This window comes from Homo sapiens, chromosome 8, assembly GCF_000001405.40.
Source record: "Homo sapiens chromosome 8, GRCh38.p14 Primary Assembly".
Lineage (NCBI taxonomy): Eukaryota > Metazoa > Chordata > Mammalia > Primates > Hominidae > Homo > Homo sapiens.
The window spans coordinates 56,682,634-56,701,122 of record NC_000008.11 but is presented as its reverse complement, the minus strand read 5'-3'; the positions used below and the strand labels follow the sequence as shown (position 1 = coordinate 56,701,122).

The 18,489-nt window shown below is 35.9% G+C and overlaps 1 long non-coding RNA gene across 2 annotated transcripts in view; it reads right to left on the bottom strand.

Moving 5' to 3' along the window:
• Nucleotides 1-17,957, bottom strand: part of LOC105375852 (uncharacterized) — a 32,348-nt gene extending 14,391 nt beyond the window's left edge. For both annotated transcript variants that reach the window (XR_928915.2, XR_928916.2), the window contains exon 1: nucleotides 16,739-17,957. This is a non-coding gene — a long non-coding RNA (uncharacterized LOC105375852). The remainder of the gene's footprint in view (nucleotides 1-16,738) is intronic.
• Between the last annotated feature and the right edge of the window lie 532 nt (nucleotides 17,958-18,489).

Below are 18,489 nucleotides of genomic sequence, written 5' to 3'. Positions count from 1 at the left end.
GTTGTTTAATATGTTGATAACCTAACAAGCTACTCTGTCAAAGTTAACAATAGAAGTCCTAATCATTCTCTTATAACATGTATTACAAAAAGTGACCTTCAGAGGTTAATGATATAGAATTGATAGCTGGCAGCCTAGTAGTGTTTTCTTTGTTAGAGAAAGACTTCCCAACTAAAGCAACTCACAGTAGAAATCAAGTGGAGAGAGGAAGAAAAACCCTATATGGTGTCTTTGTGTATATTACCCAAGAGAGGAATGGATCTTATAAATCTTTAAATTTTAATTAAATTCCTGATGTCTTGTTGCATTAGAAGAATAGTGGGGCCACTGAGGCTGGGATATTTCAGCTACATCAAAGAGATTGCCTTGAAATGCTTTCTGTATAGTGTTATTTGATATTCATGTTTTTCTTTCCCTCAAAGGTACGTTGAGCTCAAATGCAGTTCTCTGCATTTAAACTGCATAGACTTAGGAAATGAAAGTTTTCAAATAACTTGAAATGGTTCCTAAAACTGCAGTTTTATTTTGTTTAGAATGGGTGAAGCTAACACAGTTGGATTTCATTTATTCTTTTTTTTCTCTTTTACACTGTATAGCAATGGAGATTCAGGTTACACTATTATTTTAGAGAAAGTAATAAACTGAATGTGACATTTTCTTCCCTATGCATTGATCTTCTCATTTGAAATAAAAATAATTTCTCATGAATTAGATTTTAGGACGTGACACATTAGCTGCCTCCTGGGGACTGTGTACCCAAGGTCTTCCCCTTGATGCATTCTCTCAAATGCCCCTCATTGATCCAGGACCCAGGCAATTTTCTCACTCAGTCACTGCGGATAACAGCCACCCACAGATTCTCTTTTTGGACATTCTGTCAATTTTTTGACTTTTTGCTGCAATCTAAAAGACAGAGTGAACAATGTAAACCGAAAAATTTCAGGGAAATGGAAGAGACATAGGAATATACAGGCCTTTCTCATAAAAGTCAAAGCCAAAATCCTCTGAGACTTGAACCAAAGAAAAGCTCTCCAAAGTGAATAAACAGGTTTGAAGTGTTTGCAGTGCTGTTTATTCATTACAGACTTGGCACAGAATAATAATACTGAAGATGTTTTTGCAGCTGATATATGAAATGGTGTACTAAGTAGACATTGATAAACTTTATTTAAGAGCCTACGGATTACAAATTTAAGCTATTATAACACTGTAGGCTTGATGTGCAGCTATATTACAGAAAAAAATTAAAAATGAGAGCTTTCAGACAGCAAAGAGTCACTGGCCTGGTCAAAATTTGAAATCTACAAAATTTTAGGCAATATGATGTGATTTAAATATCTGAATTGTTCTTGCACATAATTACTGAACCATGAAATAAGAAAAATAAAGTGAAAATTATTTTCTTTTGTAAAACAGAAGATGGAGGAAAATCAATCCTAGTTTCAGCGAGGTTTTGCAGTGCATGTGCAGGCTACGTTAATGTCACCCAGGAGCTTGATTGACAGATGCTCAAATGCCCAGCCCTATCCCTGCCCCATCTACTGAGGAACCCAAGCACCTGAAGTTCCACAAATGCTGCAGGTGATTTCTATTTATGCTATCATTTGAAGAACACTGATTTAATGTGACTGTCTATTAAAGTTTTATGCAAATTGCTTCCGTAAGTTTATTTTTTCTCAGAAAACTAATTCAGGAAATAACCTTTATAAGCCTGGATGATACTCAGTACCTTATCGGACTATGTTTTTGTATTTTCACTTACTGGCTTTGTTTTTAAATAGCCACAGAGTAGGTATGGGACACTGGGGGATGGAGAGCACATGACAGGAAGTAAAGGCAACTGAAGTTTCCACTGAGGTTGGGAGGAAATGGCCCGTAACTGCTTCCTATTCATCGTTTTGTGCAGATTGAGTTCTGTTGCCTTAGTGTGCTGAAGAGAGCCAAGGTACAGCCTGAGGTTGTAGTGGGTTTTATGCACATATTTTTGTTTTTCTTTAACCATATGAATCTACTTGGGGAGTATTTATAGGAAAAGCTCTAAAGGCAGTCAAGCACTTTTAGATTTCAATCTAAGTAGCCTATAAGTGAATGTTAAAGGGCAAAAAGAGTCCTTCAGTTTTTCAGTTAACATCCCAGGCACTGTGCTTGTGTTATGGATTTAAAAAAAAAATAAGTGAAAGGTCCTACTCTCAATAAATTTTGTTAATTTAGGAGGAGAAACCAAAAGCCAGGCAGGCAGTTAACGAAAGTATTGGCAGTATCACCATAAGAGTATAAGACTGATGTTGGGAAAAGGACCTAGCCCAGTGTGGAGGATCAGACAGGGCGGGGTTCCCTGAAGAAGTATAACTTAAGCTGAGACATGGGGGTCAAATAAGAATTAATTCATGAAAAACTTCAGGAAGACCAAGAAAAACCATTATTAATGGCAATATCCATTCATTCATTCGTTTGATCATTTTATTCATTTCATGCATTTATTCATTTAGTGACTTATGCATGTGTCACGTGAAAATCACTGAGCTAGACCCTAAGGACACAGCTGTGAAAATGCCAGACCTGGCAGCTATCGTCATGCAGTAGGAGAGACAGGAGACATCTTCCATTTCTGTTTTCCCCTAGAACTGTCTGCGGCAAAAGAAAGGTTCTCTGCACTGCCTAGTACTGTAGCCCTAACTACTGGGGCTATTGAGCATTTCACCTGTTTCTAATGTGACAGAAGACATAAATGTATAATTTAGTTTTAATATACACATGGCTAGTGGCTACTTTATCTACTGCAAGAGTGAAAAATTTCTAATCTAGATCCCCATAGGAACTCAAAGATGGGAACAAGTGGCATCTTAAAAATGGGCTCAGATGGAAAAGGGGCTGCCATGAAAGGATGGAACTTGGGAGATGGGATGCTTCCCAGCAAAGGGTGGTGGTGTGCATGCTCCTTGTAGTCAAGGTGTGACTTTAGCATTAATGGAGCCATGTCACCCATGGAAGGTACTGCTGTGATGTTATTTTGAAGCATGGATGAACTCATAAGTCAAAATTTTGCCAGAGGGGAACAGGCACCTCTGCTCACCTCTATTTTCATTCCTAGCAGGATTAAATTCATATTGTATTTGCTGAGCAGCCCAGGTGTTTAAGAAAAAGTTGTCATTCAGATTGATGGTACTTTAAAAAAAATCCATCAACATACAAGGAAAAATATCTGTGGTGGAGAGTTGAGTGACTCAGATTTAATAGCATAGCACATGAGACCACTGTGTTCCCTAGTTTTTTTAAAAAATGAATTATTGCCTTTCCCCTGTAAGCCTAGCAATATGGAAAGAGGGAAAGGAGGCTTTTCAAAGGAAACTGCTCTTTGGAATATTAATGCATTTATATCATGTGTCCACTGATTTATCTAACTAATATTTCTCCAATATTTTGTCTTTTGTCTTCAAATAGTTCTATCCAAACTGTACTGACTTAATTTTTCTACTATTTTTAAAAGCATTATCTATGAAGTTTTACTTTATAACTTGGAGAATTGATTTTTCATACAGTAAGATGGGTTTTCTCAGACTATCAAACCTTAAAAGTGGTATTTTGAATTTCTACTAAAGTCAGCATGTAGAAGGCTATAATGACATTCTCCTGGATCTTAAATAGGGGGTAAAGAATCTCTGGGTCTTGAGAACACCCCAAAGGCGAACTCTATACTTAAGCCACAAAACATCTCTCTGGAATAAGATAAGGAGACAAGGTCCCAGGGAAGGGAGGGAGGGAAGAAATGAAAGAACAGAGAAACAGGAAATAGGAGTAAAGGAAAAGGAGGAGGAGAAGGAGGGATGGAGAGACAGAGGGGGAGAGTGGAAAGAGAGAGAGAGAGAGCAAGCGAGAGAGAGAGAGAGCACATCATCAAAACACAACATCAAAAACTCCAGGCTATCTTCCAACCATCTAGAAAGCTAAAAAGTGTCATCAGATGATTCCCTGATTTGGCTGAAATAATCCCCATAATATGTTTTTAGTATTCACGATCATTTTTGAGTACCCTGATATCAGCAGGAGGCTACTTTGGAAGCCAGATGCAAATAAGTGTCTCAGAAATTAAAGACATCTTCCCCCATTGGATATCAATAAATCAGTATTCTAGAATTACTATTCTAGTAATATGTATTCTTGTTTTAGAGACTTGGTTAGTAGTCTGACCCCAAGAGGTCAGTCAGTTCTGTGTGGATAGAAAAACCAAATCCAGTTTCTGAACGGAAAACCTAAGGCCCACAGCCTGCAGAATGATGTATCACCCTGGTTATTACCACCCATGGGGACAGACCACATGACCATGCAGCATCAATCTCAGACTGTTCTCATTCTCGCTCCTTGACTGCAGTGTCCTTTGCTCATCTTTTTATTTTTTAAAATTTCAGTCATTTGAATTACAACCTGCTTATTATAATAATTCAAAAGGCAGTAATGTATTCAGAAGGAAGTTAATAGTGTATATTGCACATCTCCAATACCACTTCACCAGTGGCAGCCTGTGCCTCTCATTCATACCTTTTCTTTGCTGGTACATCTGTGCACCAACATAAAGATTTTGATTTAATTTTTAATACAGATGAGATTCCACTGTACATAGTATTTTGTGATTTGCTCTTGTTGTATTATATGGTTGCTATGAGTTCCAGATCAATGCACATATATCTGCTTCATGCTTTTAAAGACCTTCACAATAGTCTCTAGTATGAGTTTATTAAAATGTAGTAATTCTCTCCCTGATTGAATATTCAAATTTATTTTAAATTTTTGCTACTCCAAATGTGGTGAGATAATATTTTTGATATACTTATGCCTGACTTCCCTTTCTCTTCCATCTCACATATAGTCAGGGCCCCTATATTGACTGCCTCGGCAAGAGTATAGAGAGGTGAAGCACAAATGGCCCAGAAGAACTGTTATAGACTGAATGTTTGTGTCCCCCTAAAATTTATACATTGAAGCCCTAATCTTTAGTGCAACCGTATGTACCTCTAAGAAGGTAATTAAGGTTAAATGAGGCCATAAGGGTGGGGCCCTAATCCCATAAGACTAATGTCTTTATACAAAGAGATATCAGAGAGCTTTCTCTCTCCAAGTGCCTATGAGAAGTTGGCCATCTGCAATCCAGGAAGACAACCCTTACCAGAAATCAAATCAACCAGAACCTTGATCTTGGACTTCCAGTCTTTAGAACTTGTAGAACTTGGAGGAAATAATAGCTTGATGTTTAAGCTACCCAGTCTGTAGTGTTTTACCGTTTCACCTTAGCAGACTAATGTGGACCCCAATTCTCTAAGCCCAGGAAGGAAAATAAGATGTTATTGTAAATAAAATCTCTTGGCCAGAAAAGGAAAGTAAGGTTTCCATCAAGATGAGGGAAAAATTTCCTAGATAGAGCTGGCTAGAAGGTAAGAACCCCAGAAAGTGGCTGGGAAGACATACTTAGGCTACACTACAGGCAGACTCATAATAATGTAAGACAGTGGAGAAGTTCTCTTACCCTAATACTTTTATATTTTCCAGCTTACAAAATGTCATGTCTCCACCTCCTATCTCTGTATTGGTCATTAAAAGTTTCTGTTTCTCAGCTTTGTATTAGAGTGAACAATACTTTGATACCTCAACTGCAGATATTTACTCTCCATTTTCTCTTGATATCGTGTATGATGTTTATTGCCATGCACTTTTTAAATGTTATTTTAAGAAATCAAAAATTATTTCCCTTATAGATTTTAACTTTTTCAGTTAAAAAGCTCATCCTGCACTCAGGCTACACAAATATTTCCTAAATTTTATTCTAATATATTATAGTTTTATTTGTTATATGGAGATCCCACTGGGGTTCATTTATATGGTGAAAAGTGAGATTCTAATTTTACTTTCTTCCACTTGAAAAGGAAATTTTGTTAATATGAGTTATCAATAATTCAGTTCTTTCATTGATTTGTAATGCAACCTTTAACAAATAAATTTCCATGTGTATTTGTTTCTCTTTCTGGAGTAATGTATTTATTTATTGTTCTGCTGGCACCACACAACAATAATGGCAAGTCAATTTAAAAATGAAACAAAAAGCTTTAGTTGGCATTTCTTCAAAGAAGATATGCAAATAGCCACTAAGCGCCTAAAGAGGTGTTCAACGTCATTAGTCATTAGGAAAATGCAAATCAAAACCACATTAAGATACAACTTTACACAAAATATTATTAAAAAGATGGAAAATAACAAGTGCTAGTGAGGATTTTTAAAACTTTTTTGGCATTATGTTTTTCTTCTTTTAAAATTGAGGTATTTTTCATATACTATAAAATTCACCATTTTAAAGTGTACAATTCAGTGGTTTTTAGTGGATTCACAAAGTTATGCAAACTGTCACCAGCTATCTAATTCTGGAATGTATTCATCACCCCAAAAAGAAACCTTATACCCACCAGCAGTCACTCCCCATTTCTCTTTCCCCCATCTCCTGGCAACCAATAGTCTACTTTTTGGCTCTACGAATTTACTTATTGTGAATATTTCGTATATTAATGGATGGAATTACACAGTTTGTGGCCTTTTGTGTCTGGCTTCTTTCACCTACAAAAATGTTTTCAAGGTCTATTCATATTGTGGCACATATCAATACCCATCGCTTTTTATGGCTGAATAATGTTCTATGGTATAGATACACAACATTTTGTTTATCCAATAGCTGATAGACATTCAGATTGTGTCTACTTTTTGGGTAAAAAAAATGTTGCAATGAACATTCATATACTAGTTTTTGCATAAACATCTTTTTAATTCTCTTGGTTATATGCTTACAAGTGGAATTGCTGAGTCATATAGTAAGTCTATGTTTTAACTTTTGGAGGAACTATAAAATTGCTTTCCGAAGCAACTACAACATTTTACATTCCCACCAGCAATATATGAGGCTTCAAGTTGCCTCACCCACACTTCTTATTTTCTATCTTTTTAAAAATAATATTTTGGGTAAAGTGATATCTTAATGTGGTTTTGACTTGCATTTTCCTAATGACTAATGACGTTGAACACCTCTTTAGGTGCTTACTGGCTATTTGCATATCTTTTTTGAAGAAATGCCAATTAAAGTTTCTTTTACAGTTTTTAAATTGACTTGACATTCGGTTGTTGAATTGTAAGAATTCTTTACATGTTTTCGATATTAGGCCTTTATCAGATATATGATTTGCAAATATTTTCTCCCATTATGTAGATTGTATGTTCACTTTCTTGATAGTGTCCTTTGAAATACACAAGTCTTTAAAAATTTTGATGAACACCAATTTATCTATTTTCTTTGATTGCTTGTGCTTTAAATATCACATCTAAGAAACCCTCATTTGATCTAAGATCACTAAGATTTACACCTATGTCTTCTAAGCGTTCATAGTGTTAGCTTCTTACAGTTAGGTCTTTGATCCATTTTGAGTTAACTTTGACTATGGTGTAAGGAAAGACCCCAGCTTCTTTTTGCATGCTTATATCCAGTTGCCCCCTCACCATTTGTTAAAGATTATTCTTTCACCAGTAAATTATCTTGGAACCTTTGTTGAAAATTAATTGCCCATAAATGTATAGGTCCATTTCTGGACTCTCAATTCCATTCCATTGATCTACGTATCTATCCTTATGCCAGTACTACAGTCATGATTACTGTCATTTTTATTGTTTTGAAATTAAGAAGTGAGTCTTCCAACTTTGTTGTTTTCAAGATTATTTGGGCCAATCTGGGTCCCTTGCATTTCCATATGAATTTTAAAGTCTGCCTGCCATCTTTATGCAAAAAAAAAAATCCATCTGGGTTTCTGACAGAATTGCATTAAATATGTAGATCAGTTTGAAGAGTATTGCCATCTTAACAATATTACATCTCCCAATCCATGAAAATAGGTTGTGTTTTCATTTACATCTTCTTCAGTTTCTAGCAATGCTGTTTTGTAGTTTTCACTGTACAAGGCTTACACTTCTTTTCTTAAATTTATTCTCAAGTATTTTATTCCTTTTGATGCCATTATAAATAGAATTATTTTTTAATTTTATTTTTGGATTGCTTTTTGCTGGTGTATAGAAATAAAGTTGATTTTTGTATTCTGAAAACCTTGTATTCTGAAACCTTGCTGAACGTATTTATTAATTCTAACGATTTATGTGTATGTGTGTATTCCTTAGGATTTTCTATATAGATGATCAATATATCTGCAAATAAAAATAGTTTTATTTCTTTTTTTTTCCAATCTGAGTATCTCATATTTCTTTTCTTGCTTAATTGCCCTCCAGCTTTATTGAAGTGGGAGAAGTGGGAATCTTTGTCCTGTTTCTAATTTGGGGAGAAAGCTTTTAGTCTTTTTCCATTAAATACTATGTTAGCTGTGTGTAATATATTGTTTTCACTATAGACATTTTAATATTCATTAGGGCAAATCCCCACCAAGAATTTTTTTAGATTTTTAAAACTTTCCAGCAACATTTATTTTTCCACATAAAGTTTAAAATGAGCATATCACTTGCAAAAATGTGGGGGATTCTGGTTGTATTAAGCAGATATTCAATGTGGTAAGAATGTACATTTTTATAGCGTTAGGGCTGATCATGCAGGAACATGGTATGTATTCTGGCTTTCTTTCATGGTCTTAATTACCAGCTTTGTACTTATCATCATATAGGTCTTATACCACTGTTAAAGTTTGTCATAGATGTATCTATATATTTCTTAATTCAGAATATAAGATTTTAAAAATGTACATCCAATGTATGGAGTTGCTCATTTCTTATCTTCTGCTTTGTCTTGACCAATCCTTGGTCAGGTTTCTTTCTTTCCTACAGGGCCCTGAACTCCTCTTGCTCCCCAAGCCTGAGAAAGCACAAAAAAAGTAGAAAGCATCCCCTTTCTGAGCTTCCCCTGGGAACCGGGAGGCCACACAGAGAGCCCTTTTCCTGTGAGACCCCACTGTTCTCTTCCCTTTGCTTGTCCATCCTTGCCTCTAAACATTCTACTAATCTCTGCTTGCTCCTCCTTTACCCTAGAACAGAAAAATCTTTTTCTGCTTGATTCTGAAGTGCTTGTGAATTTCTGAGACTGGAGTATTCTTCCTATTGCAATACCTTCTTTCTAATTAGTTTCCCTAGTGCATATAAAACCTTGGACCCACCTATCATACTGAAACTTTTATTTAGGTCAATACATTGTTTTAATGGAATTTATTGTGTTATCTCAGTTTACAATCAAATTATCTTCAAATAATTAGAATTTGTCCCTTCTTTTTCAATATTTATACTGCTTATTTCTCCTTCTTATCTTGTGTTAGTGAAAACTGCCAAAAACATTGTTGAATAATAACACAATTAGCAGGTGTCATGTCTGTTTCTCAATATGATGGAAAAACCTATTATGTTGTTCAATTTAATATATTAGTTGAGGTCAGGTTTAAGTTGTGCTGAGTTTAAATGTGCTTAAGAAAATGATTTTTCTTTTCTATTTTACTTAGAGTTTTTTCATCTAAATCATGACTGAAATTTTATCAAAGGCTGTATTAATAAAATGTTTTAATAATTTCACATTTTCCAATAATGTGTTAATATAAGGATTTTTATTGATAGAATCCTAATGATAAAGCCTTCTAGTATATCTGAAATAAAATGTATGTGTTTTTTAATATGCTGCTAAATTTTGTTTGGAAATATTTTATCTAGATTTTTTCCATATTTACAAGTAAAATGGACCTACAATTTTTATTTTTGATATTGTATCTTTATCAGATTTGTGTGTGGGACATAGCTCTACCTTGAGAAGTAGATAAAATGTACTGTAAAATCATGTTTTAAAATCTTTTCAAATCCTGTTGTGTGTATTGATATTGCTCCAAGAAAAAGATCTTAATAAACCATGATAGCAGTGTCCAAATTGTTTAATGTCTAGGATCAGGAGAGGCATTAGATCCTTAGAGTCCATTTTCTTCACCTCCTTTAAATAGCATCCTTCCTAAATCCAGAGCCTGGTTTTCCTACTAGTTCCTGAGTATACCACCCATACTTATTATTCTTCTACTTGAACTCTTTTTTATTTCAGCATTATGTTAGTAAATTGTACTACATTGTTTATCACATATGTATATCATCTCCCAGAAGATATTACTCTCATTGTAATTGTATTTGCAAGACCCCATTTCCTCCAAAGGGCTGTCACCATATGTCCCCTAAATGCTTTGCTGAATTGAAAAAAAAAGTAATTATACAAAAATAATTTATGTTTCATATTCTGTTAATATTAGACCACCTTTCTAGGAAGCATTTTATTACCATCTTAATTCTTCCAATATCATTTTTCAAATGTATCTAATGGCATTTATTAACTGTTTTGTAATTCAAGGTTTGTATATCTGTCTCCCAAATTCAAGGATGAAGGCCAAAGCTTGTTCATGGTTGTGTATTCCATATGCAGTGCAGTGCCTGATTCACAATAGGGGCACATTAAATGTGGTTGTGCAAATTAATAAATTGTTTCTATAAGCCTCTGTCATCAGTTAACTCATCAACATTCATTAATAAATTCAAAAAAGCTGGTGGGTTTGAATACAATGGAAATCATTTACTTCAAATAATCACTCAGCAACTGGCATCATGAGTCCTACATTAGAGATTCCTCGAAAGCATTGTTCAACATCAGCATTAAACCTTCTCCCCTTAATAAAACAAACATTAGTGAACTCAAAATAGTATTCATGTAAGCATTCTAGAAAGATTAGGCTTGTTGACTTCTCATTAAGTATGTTTGATTACAAAGAAATTAAGAATATGTTTCATTTTGTTTTAGAATCTCCATGAATGACATATTTTTCTACGTTTACAAACAGGCCTGCCAGCTAACACTTGAAATTTGCCTAATTGGCTACATAAAACAAGTTTGAAAGACATGTAGTAATGTAGACACACTAGCTTTTTCCAACTTGGAAATTTTATTATATTATTTTATCATATTATTTTATCATCTAATCTTCAAATGCTAAGTGACAATCACAGTCCACATTGCTTTGTCATAATAAATGCTAATTCCAGTGACAATTCCGAGGCCTCTGTTCTTTAAAAAGGGACAAAATTCTTAAAAATAAAATTGTAATTCATTTTAAGGAGGAGTTAAACTTGTCATTCTCTGTATAATCCCTTACAAGGTGTGAATAAAGCATTATTCATGGTTAAAGAAAAAAAATTAAAAGCCAAAAGGGGGAAAAAAGATTCTTCCTTAAGCAAGAGGTAGCAGAAGTTGTATGGATAGAAAAAGATAACTCTGTTTCCCTGCATAAAATGAATCACCTACAATAAGAGGCCATGAGGTCTCCTGCCCTTGAACTAACCTCACATAGGACAGATTCCTATGTTTCTCTGATGTCTTAGCAGCCATCATGTCCAGCCTTGTGGGGAAGGCCTGAGGAAATCTGAGGACCCTATCAACTATTTGTCCTGTGAAACACACATGAAAGGCAAACAGCTCTGAGTATTTTATAACTGATAAGATCCTGGAAGTGCACAGAATCTTGTGTCTACAAGATTCCAAAATCGGAAAGTATAAAGTCGAGTCCGTATTTCCCTCCTTACCTACCTTAAATTCCATCCACTATCAAGCAATGAAATCACTTCCTAGCACACACTCAACCCCCATGCCTCTCCCCAAGTCACATTCCCTGAGCTAAGCCACCATCCACCTCCTCTATGCTCCCACCCTGCCACTGGGTGTGGCTGGAGAAAAAAAACACAACCTTGCACCAGATCATTTTCAACTCAGGACCAGTCACCACTGTGGCTGCCTCATGGCTGCCTGACTGTTTTTGCATCCATTCTTTTCACTCTTTTCCTCTTGCAAGATGAGTGTCACTCTCTGCTAATGACTTCTGCTCCTTGCCCCACTGAGAAAGAGTCTTCCCAAGCATCCCAACCTCCTGCTTTTGTGCTCACAGGCCGGAATTCTCTCCTGCTGCACAGTACCCCTGCCCCTGCTCACTGACATGACTCTGGTAATTCTCCTTCTTTCTGCTGCATCAGCAGTTCTCCTCTCCAGTCCTTTTTTTTTTTTAATCACACTGTAAATACACTATTATTTATCCCAAGTTCAAAAGAGAATCCTTTTGGTCCTATTTCACTCCCCTGCTGATATTCCATTTCTCTCCTTCCTTAAACAGCAAAAGTCTTCAAAAGAGTGACCTATATTTGCTGTCTCTGATTTATGGCCTCCTGTATTCTTTTGACCTCACTCCCACCAGGCTGTCACCCCCACCACTTTAAGCTGACAACTCTGGTTGAGATGACTAATGGTGAATTCTCAGCACTTTCCTTATCTGACCTAAGACCATTTGAGACTACGTTTGACTGCTACAGCACTGACCGCCACTTCTTAGTGTTTCCTTGGCCTCACGTTATCTCTCTGACCCCTCAACACTGAGTGTCCTAGGGCTCGCTCCTTGAACCTCTTCTGTTTTCTTTCTGTGGTCATGCAACCTCATTCTAATCCCATATTTTAAATATCATTATATGCCGAGGCTCTATAATTTATATGGCTATCCAGAAGCTCTACCTTGAATTCCTGACCCCCATAACCAACTGTTTACACAGCTCCACTTAGCCACATTTTGAGCAGCTCAAACTTAATATGTCCAATATTAACCTCTTAATTCCTTTATCCCAAATATGCCCTCCTATTGTTTCCTCCATGTGTGATAATAAGTAAATTATTCTTAGTCCCCAGGCCAAGCACCTTGGAATCACCCTTGCTTATTTACCTTCTGTTATATTCCTCATTCAATTCCTAATGAAATTCCGTTAGTTCTACCTTTGACTAGATCCAAAATCCTACCACTTTTCACCATGTTTTCTGCCACTACCCTCGTTCAAGTGACCATCATCTCTCACCTGGATTATTGCTTAAATAACACCAAGGACTGGTTTATCAAATCAGGCCACCAAATCAAAGGTGTTATTCAGTATCAAGCTACACTAATAATAATAATATAAAGGGTACAAGTACTCATGAGATGAAACAGAGAGAGAGATTCAGTATCAGTGTCTCTCTCTCTCTCTGTTTCATCTCATGATTACTTGGGATTGCCTGATCCTTCCTTCTCTCCTCAGAAGCACTCTAGCCCAGGGTGGCAGATCTGGTTTTAAGTGAGGTCTGCAGTAACCAGATTTTCACAGACGGGAGGATCTTGATCATGAAAAGTAGCATGCATAACATATTCCAGTGAGGCTATGCCTTGTAAATCTACAAATGCAGGTTTGTTTACCACAAGCAATGCTAGAAACCAGATAAATCCTGGTGAAAGCACTCCAGAGATGACGACAGTTCTGCTAGCACAAACTACTTTGCTTTGTGGCCAGGAGGTCTGCCATTACTCTGTTTGCAAGGAGAACTGATTGAGTCAATGCCTTCTTTCTTTTCCAGGAGTGTGATCCCTAATTCCTACCTCACATAAAGGAAGTGAGTGAATTATAGATTTCTTGTTTTATATAAATAAGATCTATTTATTTCCCAGTAGTAATAATCTTTCTCAGTAAATTGATTTTCCTGTTCTTTTCTTGGCCCCCTACTCAGTCTATTCTGAAGCAGCAACCAAATTGATCTCCATAAAAGGTCAGTCAGATCATGTCACTTCTTTGCAAAAGCCTTCAAATGGCCAGACCCGCTTCTGCCACAGGACCTGAGGCTTGCTTTTCCTTCTGGGTTGCATCACCTCCTCCAGATGCACACTGAGCCTACTCCTTACCAACCTTAGGTCACTCCTCAAATATCACTTCTTTGGCCACCCTATGGAAAATTACAATTCTCCCAAAAACAATCACGCAGCATATCTTCTTACTTCCCCGTGTAGTTTTGTTATTAGAACTTATCATCCTTGTGGGAATGCAGGCTTCATGAGGTATTTTTTTTTCTCTGTCTTATTCTCCATTATATACTCAGATCCTACCTGGAAATATGCCTGGCACACTGGCATGTAACAAGAACTCAGTAAACATTTGCTGAATAAATGAAAACATTTTCCCACTCTCATTTTTAATTTCCTTTAAATGTGTGAGCTTTTAACAATTTTTAATAAGGTGAGTGATATAGTTTGGATGTGTGTCCCGACCCAAATCTCACATTGAAATGTAATCTCCAGTGTTGGAGGTGGGGCCTGTTGGGAGGTGATTACATCAAGGGGGTGGATTTCTCCTAAATGGTTTAGCTCCATCCCCTTATTGCTGTCCTCATGATAGTGAGCAAGTTCTTGCGAGAGCTCGTCATATAAAAGTGTGTGGCACCTCCCCCCTTCTCTCTTGCTCCTGCTTTGCTACGTGCCTACCATGAAAGCTCCTACCTCAACTTCTGCTATAGTTGGAAGCTTCCAGAGGCTTCCCCAGAAGCAGATGCCAGTGTTATGCTTCCTGTACAGCCTGCATCACTATAAGCCAATTAAACCTCTTTTCTGATGAATTATCCAGTCTCAAGTATTTCTTTATAGCAATGGGAGAATGGCCTAACACAGTTAGCTACTAATTTAATAGTGTGATTCCTTATTTTCTCAGAGAAACAGCTCTTGGTTTATTCAAAATTTTTTGTTTGTTTTCTAGTGCATTACATTCCATTTTTAATTTTATTCTTTTTTTCAGATCTGTTTCTTAATTCTTAAGATAACAAAATATAAATATATTGCCATCCCTTTTTTCAGATTATATAAGTATTTTGTAATATACATATTATACATATACAATATAATATGCCCATTTCTGTGAGCTTAGCTTTAGACTGTAGACTCTTCTTAATTCTTAAGATAAAAAAATAAATATATTGCCATCCCTTTTTTTTAGGTTATATAAGTATTTTGTAATATACATATTATACATATACAATATAATATACCCATTTCTCTGAGCTTAGCTTTAGCTGTAGACTCTTAGGTTTATATATATATATATATATATATTATATGTATATGTATTTATATACACAGTGTTTAACTATTTTTCTCCAACATTAGTTTTCATTTTCCTTTTAACCAAGAGTTAAGACAGCATGACAAAAATTTCTAGCTTATAAAAAATTTCATTTTTTCTGTCATTAATATCATGCAATCAAGGTCAAATGACCAGAGAACACATATACCACTCAGTAGAGGGAATATCCACTGAGGAAATCTCATGGAGACAGCAGCAGAAACGGGTGCAGAGGTCTTCTTGCCACTGCATTCTAGGACATAACATATGGATTTAGAAGGTTTGGATGTTGACTCTGGGCAAGTGACCCCAACCTTTAGATCTGGAGCTTTTCAGCTTCCTGATTAGGGAAGTACCAGCCCCTCCCCTACTGGGGCCAAGAACCAGGACACAATAGTAATACAAAGTAGCAGAGCTTTGGCTTCAGTTTGGGAGACTCACCAGCCTGTACCTAGCATGGCTGGAGGCTGGAGTCCAAGCCTTTGGGTTGTAGCTGTATGATGTGAAAGAATCAGTGCATCAGCATTCATGGTTAGGAAAACATCAGCCTCTTTCCTGGCATGATTGAGGACAAGGTTTCAAATGTGAGAATGTCCAGGATTGCTTGCCTGGGTACTGGGCTAAAGCTGGATTCCATGGATCTTTTCAGAAGGCCAATCCTTTTTCTGGAATGTTAGGCTGTAAGAAGTTAATCTCAGCCAAGTTAACCCTTACATTTCAATTTTTAATTCAATATTAGTGATTTAAATGTTTGCCTGAATTTTTCCTCTCTTTGTAATTTACTTAAATTCCTTTGGGGGCTATATATGTTTGGTTAAAATTTAATGGCATTTAAATCGAATTTAATTCACTAATTTCAGTGTGTAAAGTTGGATAAGTGTATGTGTGTGGTCAACCCTAATAATAACGTTGCTTAGATTAAGAGCCTTATTAATTTTTTGACTACATGATCTTTTATGGAATAAAAGAATTGAGTTAAACATTCTAACTACTATTTTTTCCATGCCAGATCTTTGTATATTTTCCACAGTTTTGCACTTTCAAATATTTTGCTATTTAGTAGGAAGAAAATAAATGAACATTAGGTCTTCATTTGGGTTTGTATACATTACTTTAACCATTCTTGTTAGGAATTAGTTAATTTTTTATTCCAACTTACCTAAACATCATGAACCCTACTTTATTTTGTTTGCCTTTGTCTAACATATTTTTGCCTTGCCATTTTGTTCCAGGTGTATGTCTTGTAAATAGCCTGTAGTTCACAACTTTTAAAGTCATTCCGAGACTATATTGTTATTGGTGTTTTATTTATATTTATAGTATAATAGTTTAGCCTTAATGCTGTAAATTTATTTTGTAATATAAAGTCTTGATTTTATTACTTCCTCTTCCCAACTATAGTTGCAATGTGTGCTGTGTGTTCTTTTTTCTTTTGTTTGGTGTATTTCTGGGTTTTTTCATTATGCTAATAGGGAAGATTTATAATTACTTTTGGTCCCGTTGGCAAGTTTTTTTCTTTCTTTTTTAATAGTGACACTTTATGAATTTTTTCTCTTTTTAGAAATTAAAAAATAACACTAGGTACATTATTTAAATGTCTCTGTGATGATTCATTAAACTTTTAGACAGCATTTATTTACTCCCAACTATAAAAAGGAGAGTGTGAAGACACTTATAGTTCCTACTATAACCAAAAAATACACTTAATCATCCTAATAATTATTTTTCTTATAACACAGGCCTGTACTATTACCTCATATTATGTGATGATAAGCTCCACAGTTGTTTGGCCCTGTTTCTATTTCTCAGTGGTCTCAGGGTTCATTGCCATTCCCCAACTCCTTTTCAGCTTTCAGCGATTTAGTTCCATTTTTTGTTTGGCTGTATTTTATCTTATCTTCAAGGATTTTCTTTTCAAGAGATTTCATGGTCATTATATTCTTCAAGCCTTTACAAGTGGAATAGATCTGTTGCGGTCATCTATCAACAACAAAGTAACAACTCGGCCATGTAATCCCTGGGTCACACTACCTTTTCCCCTTCTGGGCCCATAGGTACTGCTCTACTGTCTTCTGGCAGTGATTGCTGCCCTGGAAAACTCAGTGGTCTGTGAGGTTGCGCCCCTCAGAGGTGACTTCCTCCTACCATTGTGTCCACAGAAACCCTTGTTTAGTCATTGTTGACATTCACTAACTTTACAAAGATATATTTCATTCTCTATAGTTTTTCTTGGAATATCTTTCCATGTACAGATTTAGTTCCTTATTTTAGAAATCTTTTCCTCCTTCATATCACTGAACATTTGGGAGTTTCATTATCTCTTCCCATTTTCAGGAATGCAATTCTGTTTATGAGGATTTGTTTCTCTCTGTTTCATCTTTTCTTGAAACACTTTTATCTTATTCTTTTCCATTGTATTTTATATAATATTTTCATGTTTATTCTCTGTATCGCTGATTTTGTTTTCAGTTACTCACTGTTTTTTTCTTTCCCTCTTTAATTGTAGATTTATTGCTAAATTCTGTGGTAGTTTCTTTGCTAAATTTTAGTTTATTGCTAAGGTCTGCCAGGTTGCTTTTCAACTCTTTACATGGGGTTTTCTTATTTTATTTAATCAATATTTTCTCTTTGAAACTTTTTTAACAGTTATCATTTCTTTAAAATATTTTGCAAGTATAGAAATAGTCTTTCTTCTAAATTTTATTTTTCTGTTTCCTGGAATAATTCTTCTAATGTGCATTTTTCTTCTGCTCTCTGCTTGTTATGCCTATCCCTAAGTATTGTTTTCAAATAATATCCATGAAGAGCATTCATGTGGATTCTTTCTACTTGCTTCTCATTTTTAAACTAAGACCATTCCTTCTAGGGCTGCTGTTCACTCAAGCCCAGGATGGGGGACTTGGTTGAAAAAGAGATGTCAGTGAGCAGAGAATGTGAAATTTTCTTCTTTTTTCCTTCCTTCCTTCTTTCCTTCCTTTCTTTCTTTCCTTCCTTCCTTCCTTCCTTCCTTCCTTCCTTCCTTCCTTCCTTCTTTCTTTCTTTCTTTCTTTCTTTCTTTCTTTCTTTCTTTCTTTCTTTCTTTCTTTCTTTCTTTCATTTGTGGCCTGATGCACCATGTCTGCTACTTCCTGTGACTGGGTATGTCTCTCTGCAAGCATGGTATGCTGCCCACTTTGGGGTGAGCATTTCACTCAGAGACATCTATGTGGTTCCTGGTGTTGCAGTATGTACATATAGATCTATGTATGTTAAGCACTTGAGTGTTGTTTTCTCCTGTTTCCATTCCCTTATCTCCAGACTATTTCTCATTGTAAAGAGGATAGTTTGCAGGACATTAGGAAAATATGGGATTCCTCTTCTGAACCTTCCCTTCTGCTTTTCTGCAGTAGGAAACTTTACTCATCTCCTCCCCGCCTCACCCACCAAGGATGTGCCCAGTTTTCCCCTGGACTGTCCACCTTCTCCAAATGGTAGTTGCTGCAGTCTACTTAAAATCTGGAACTG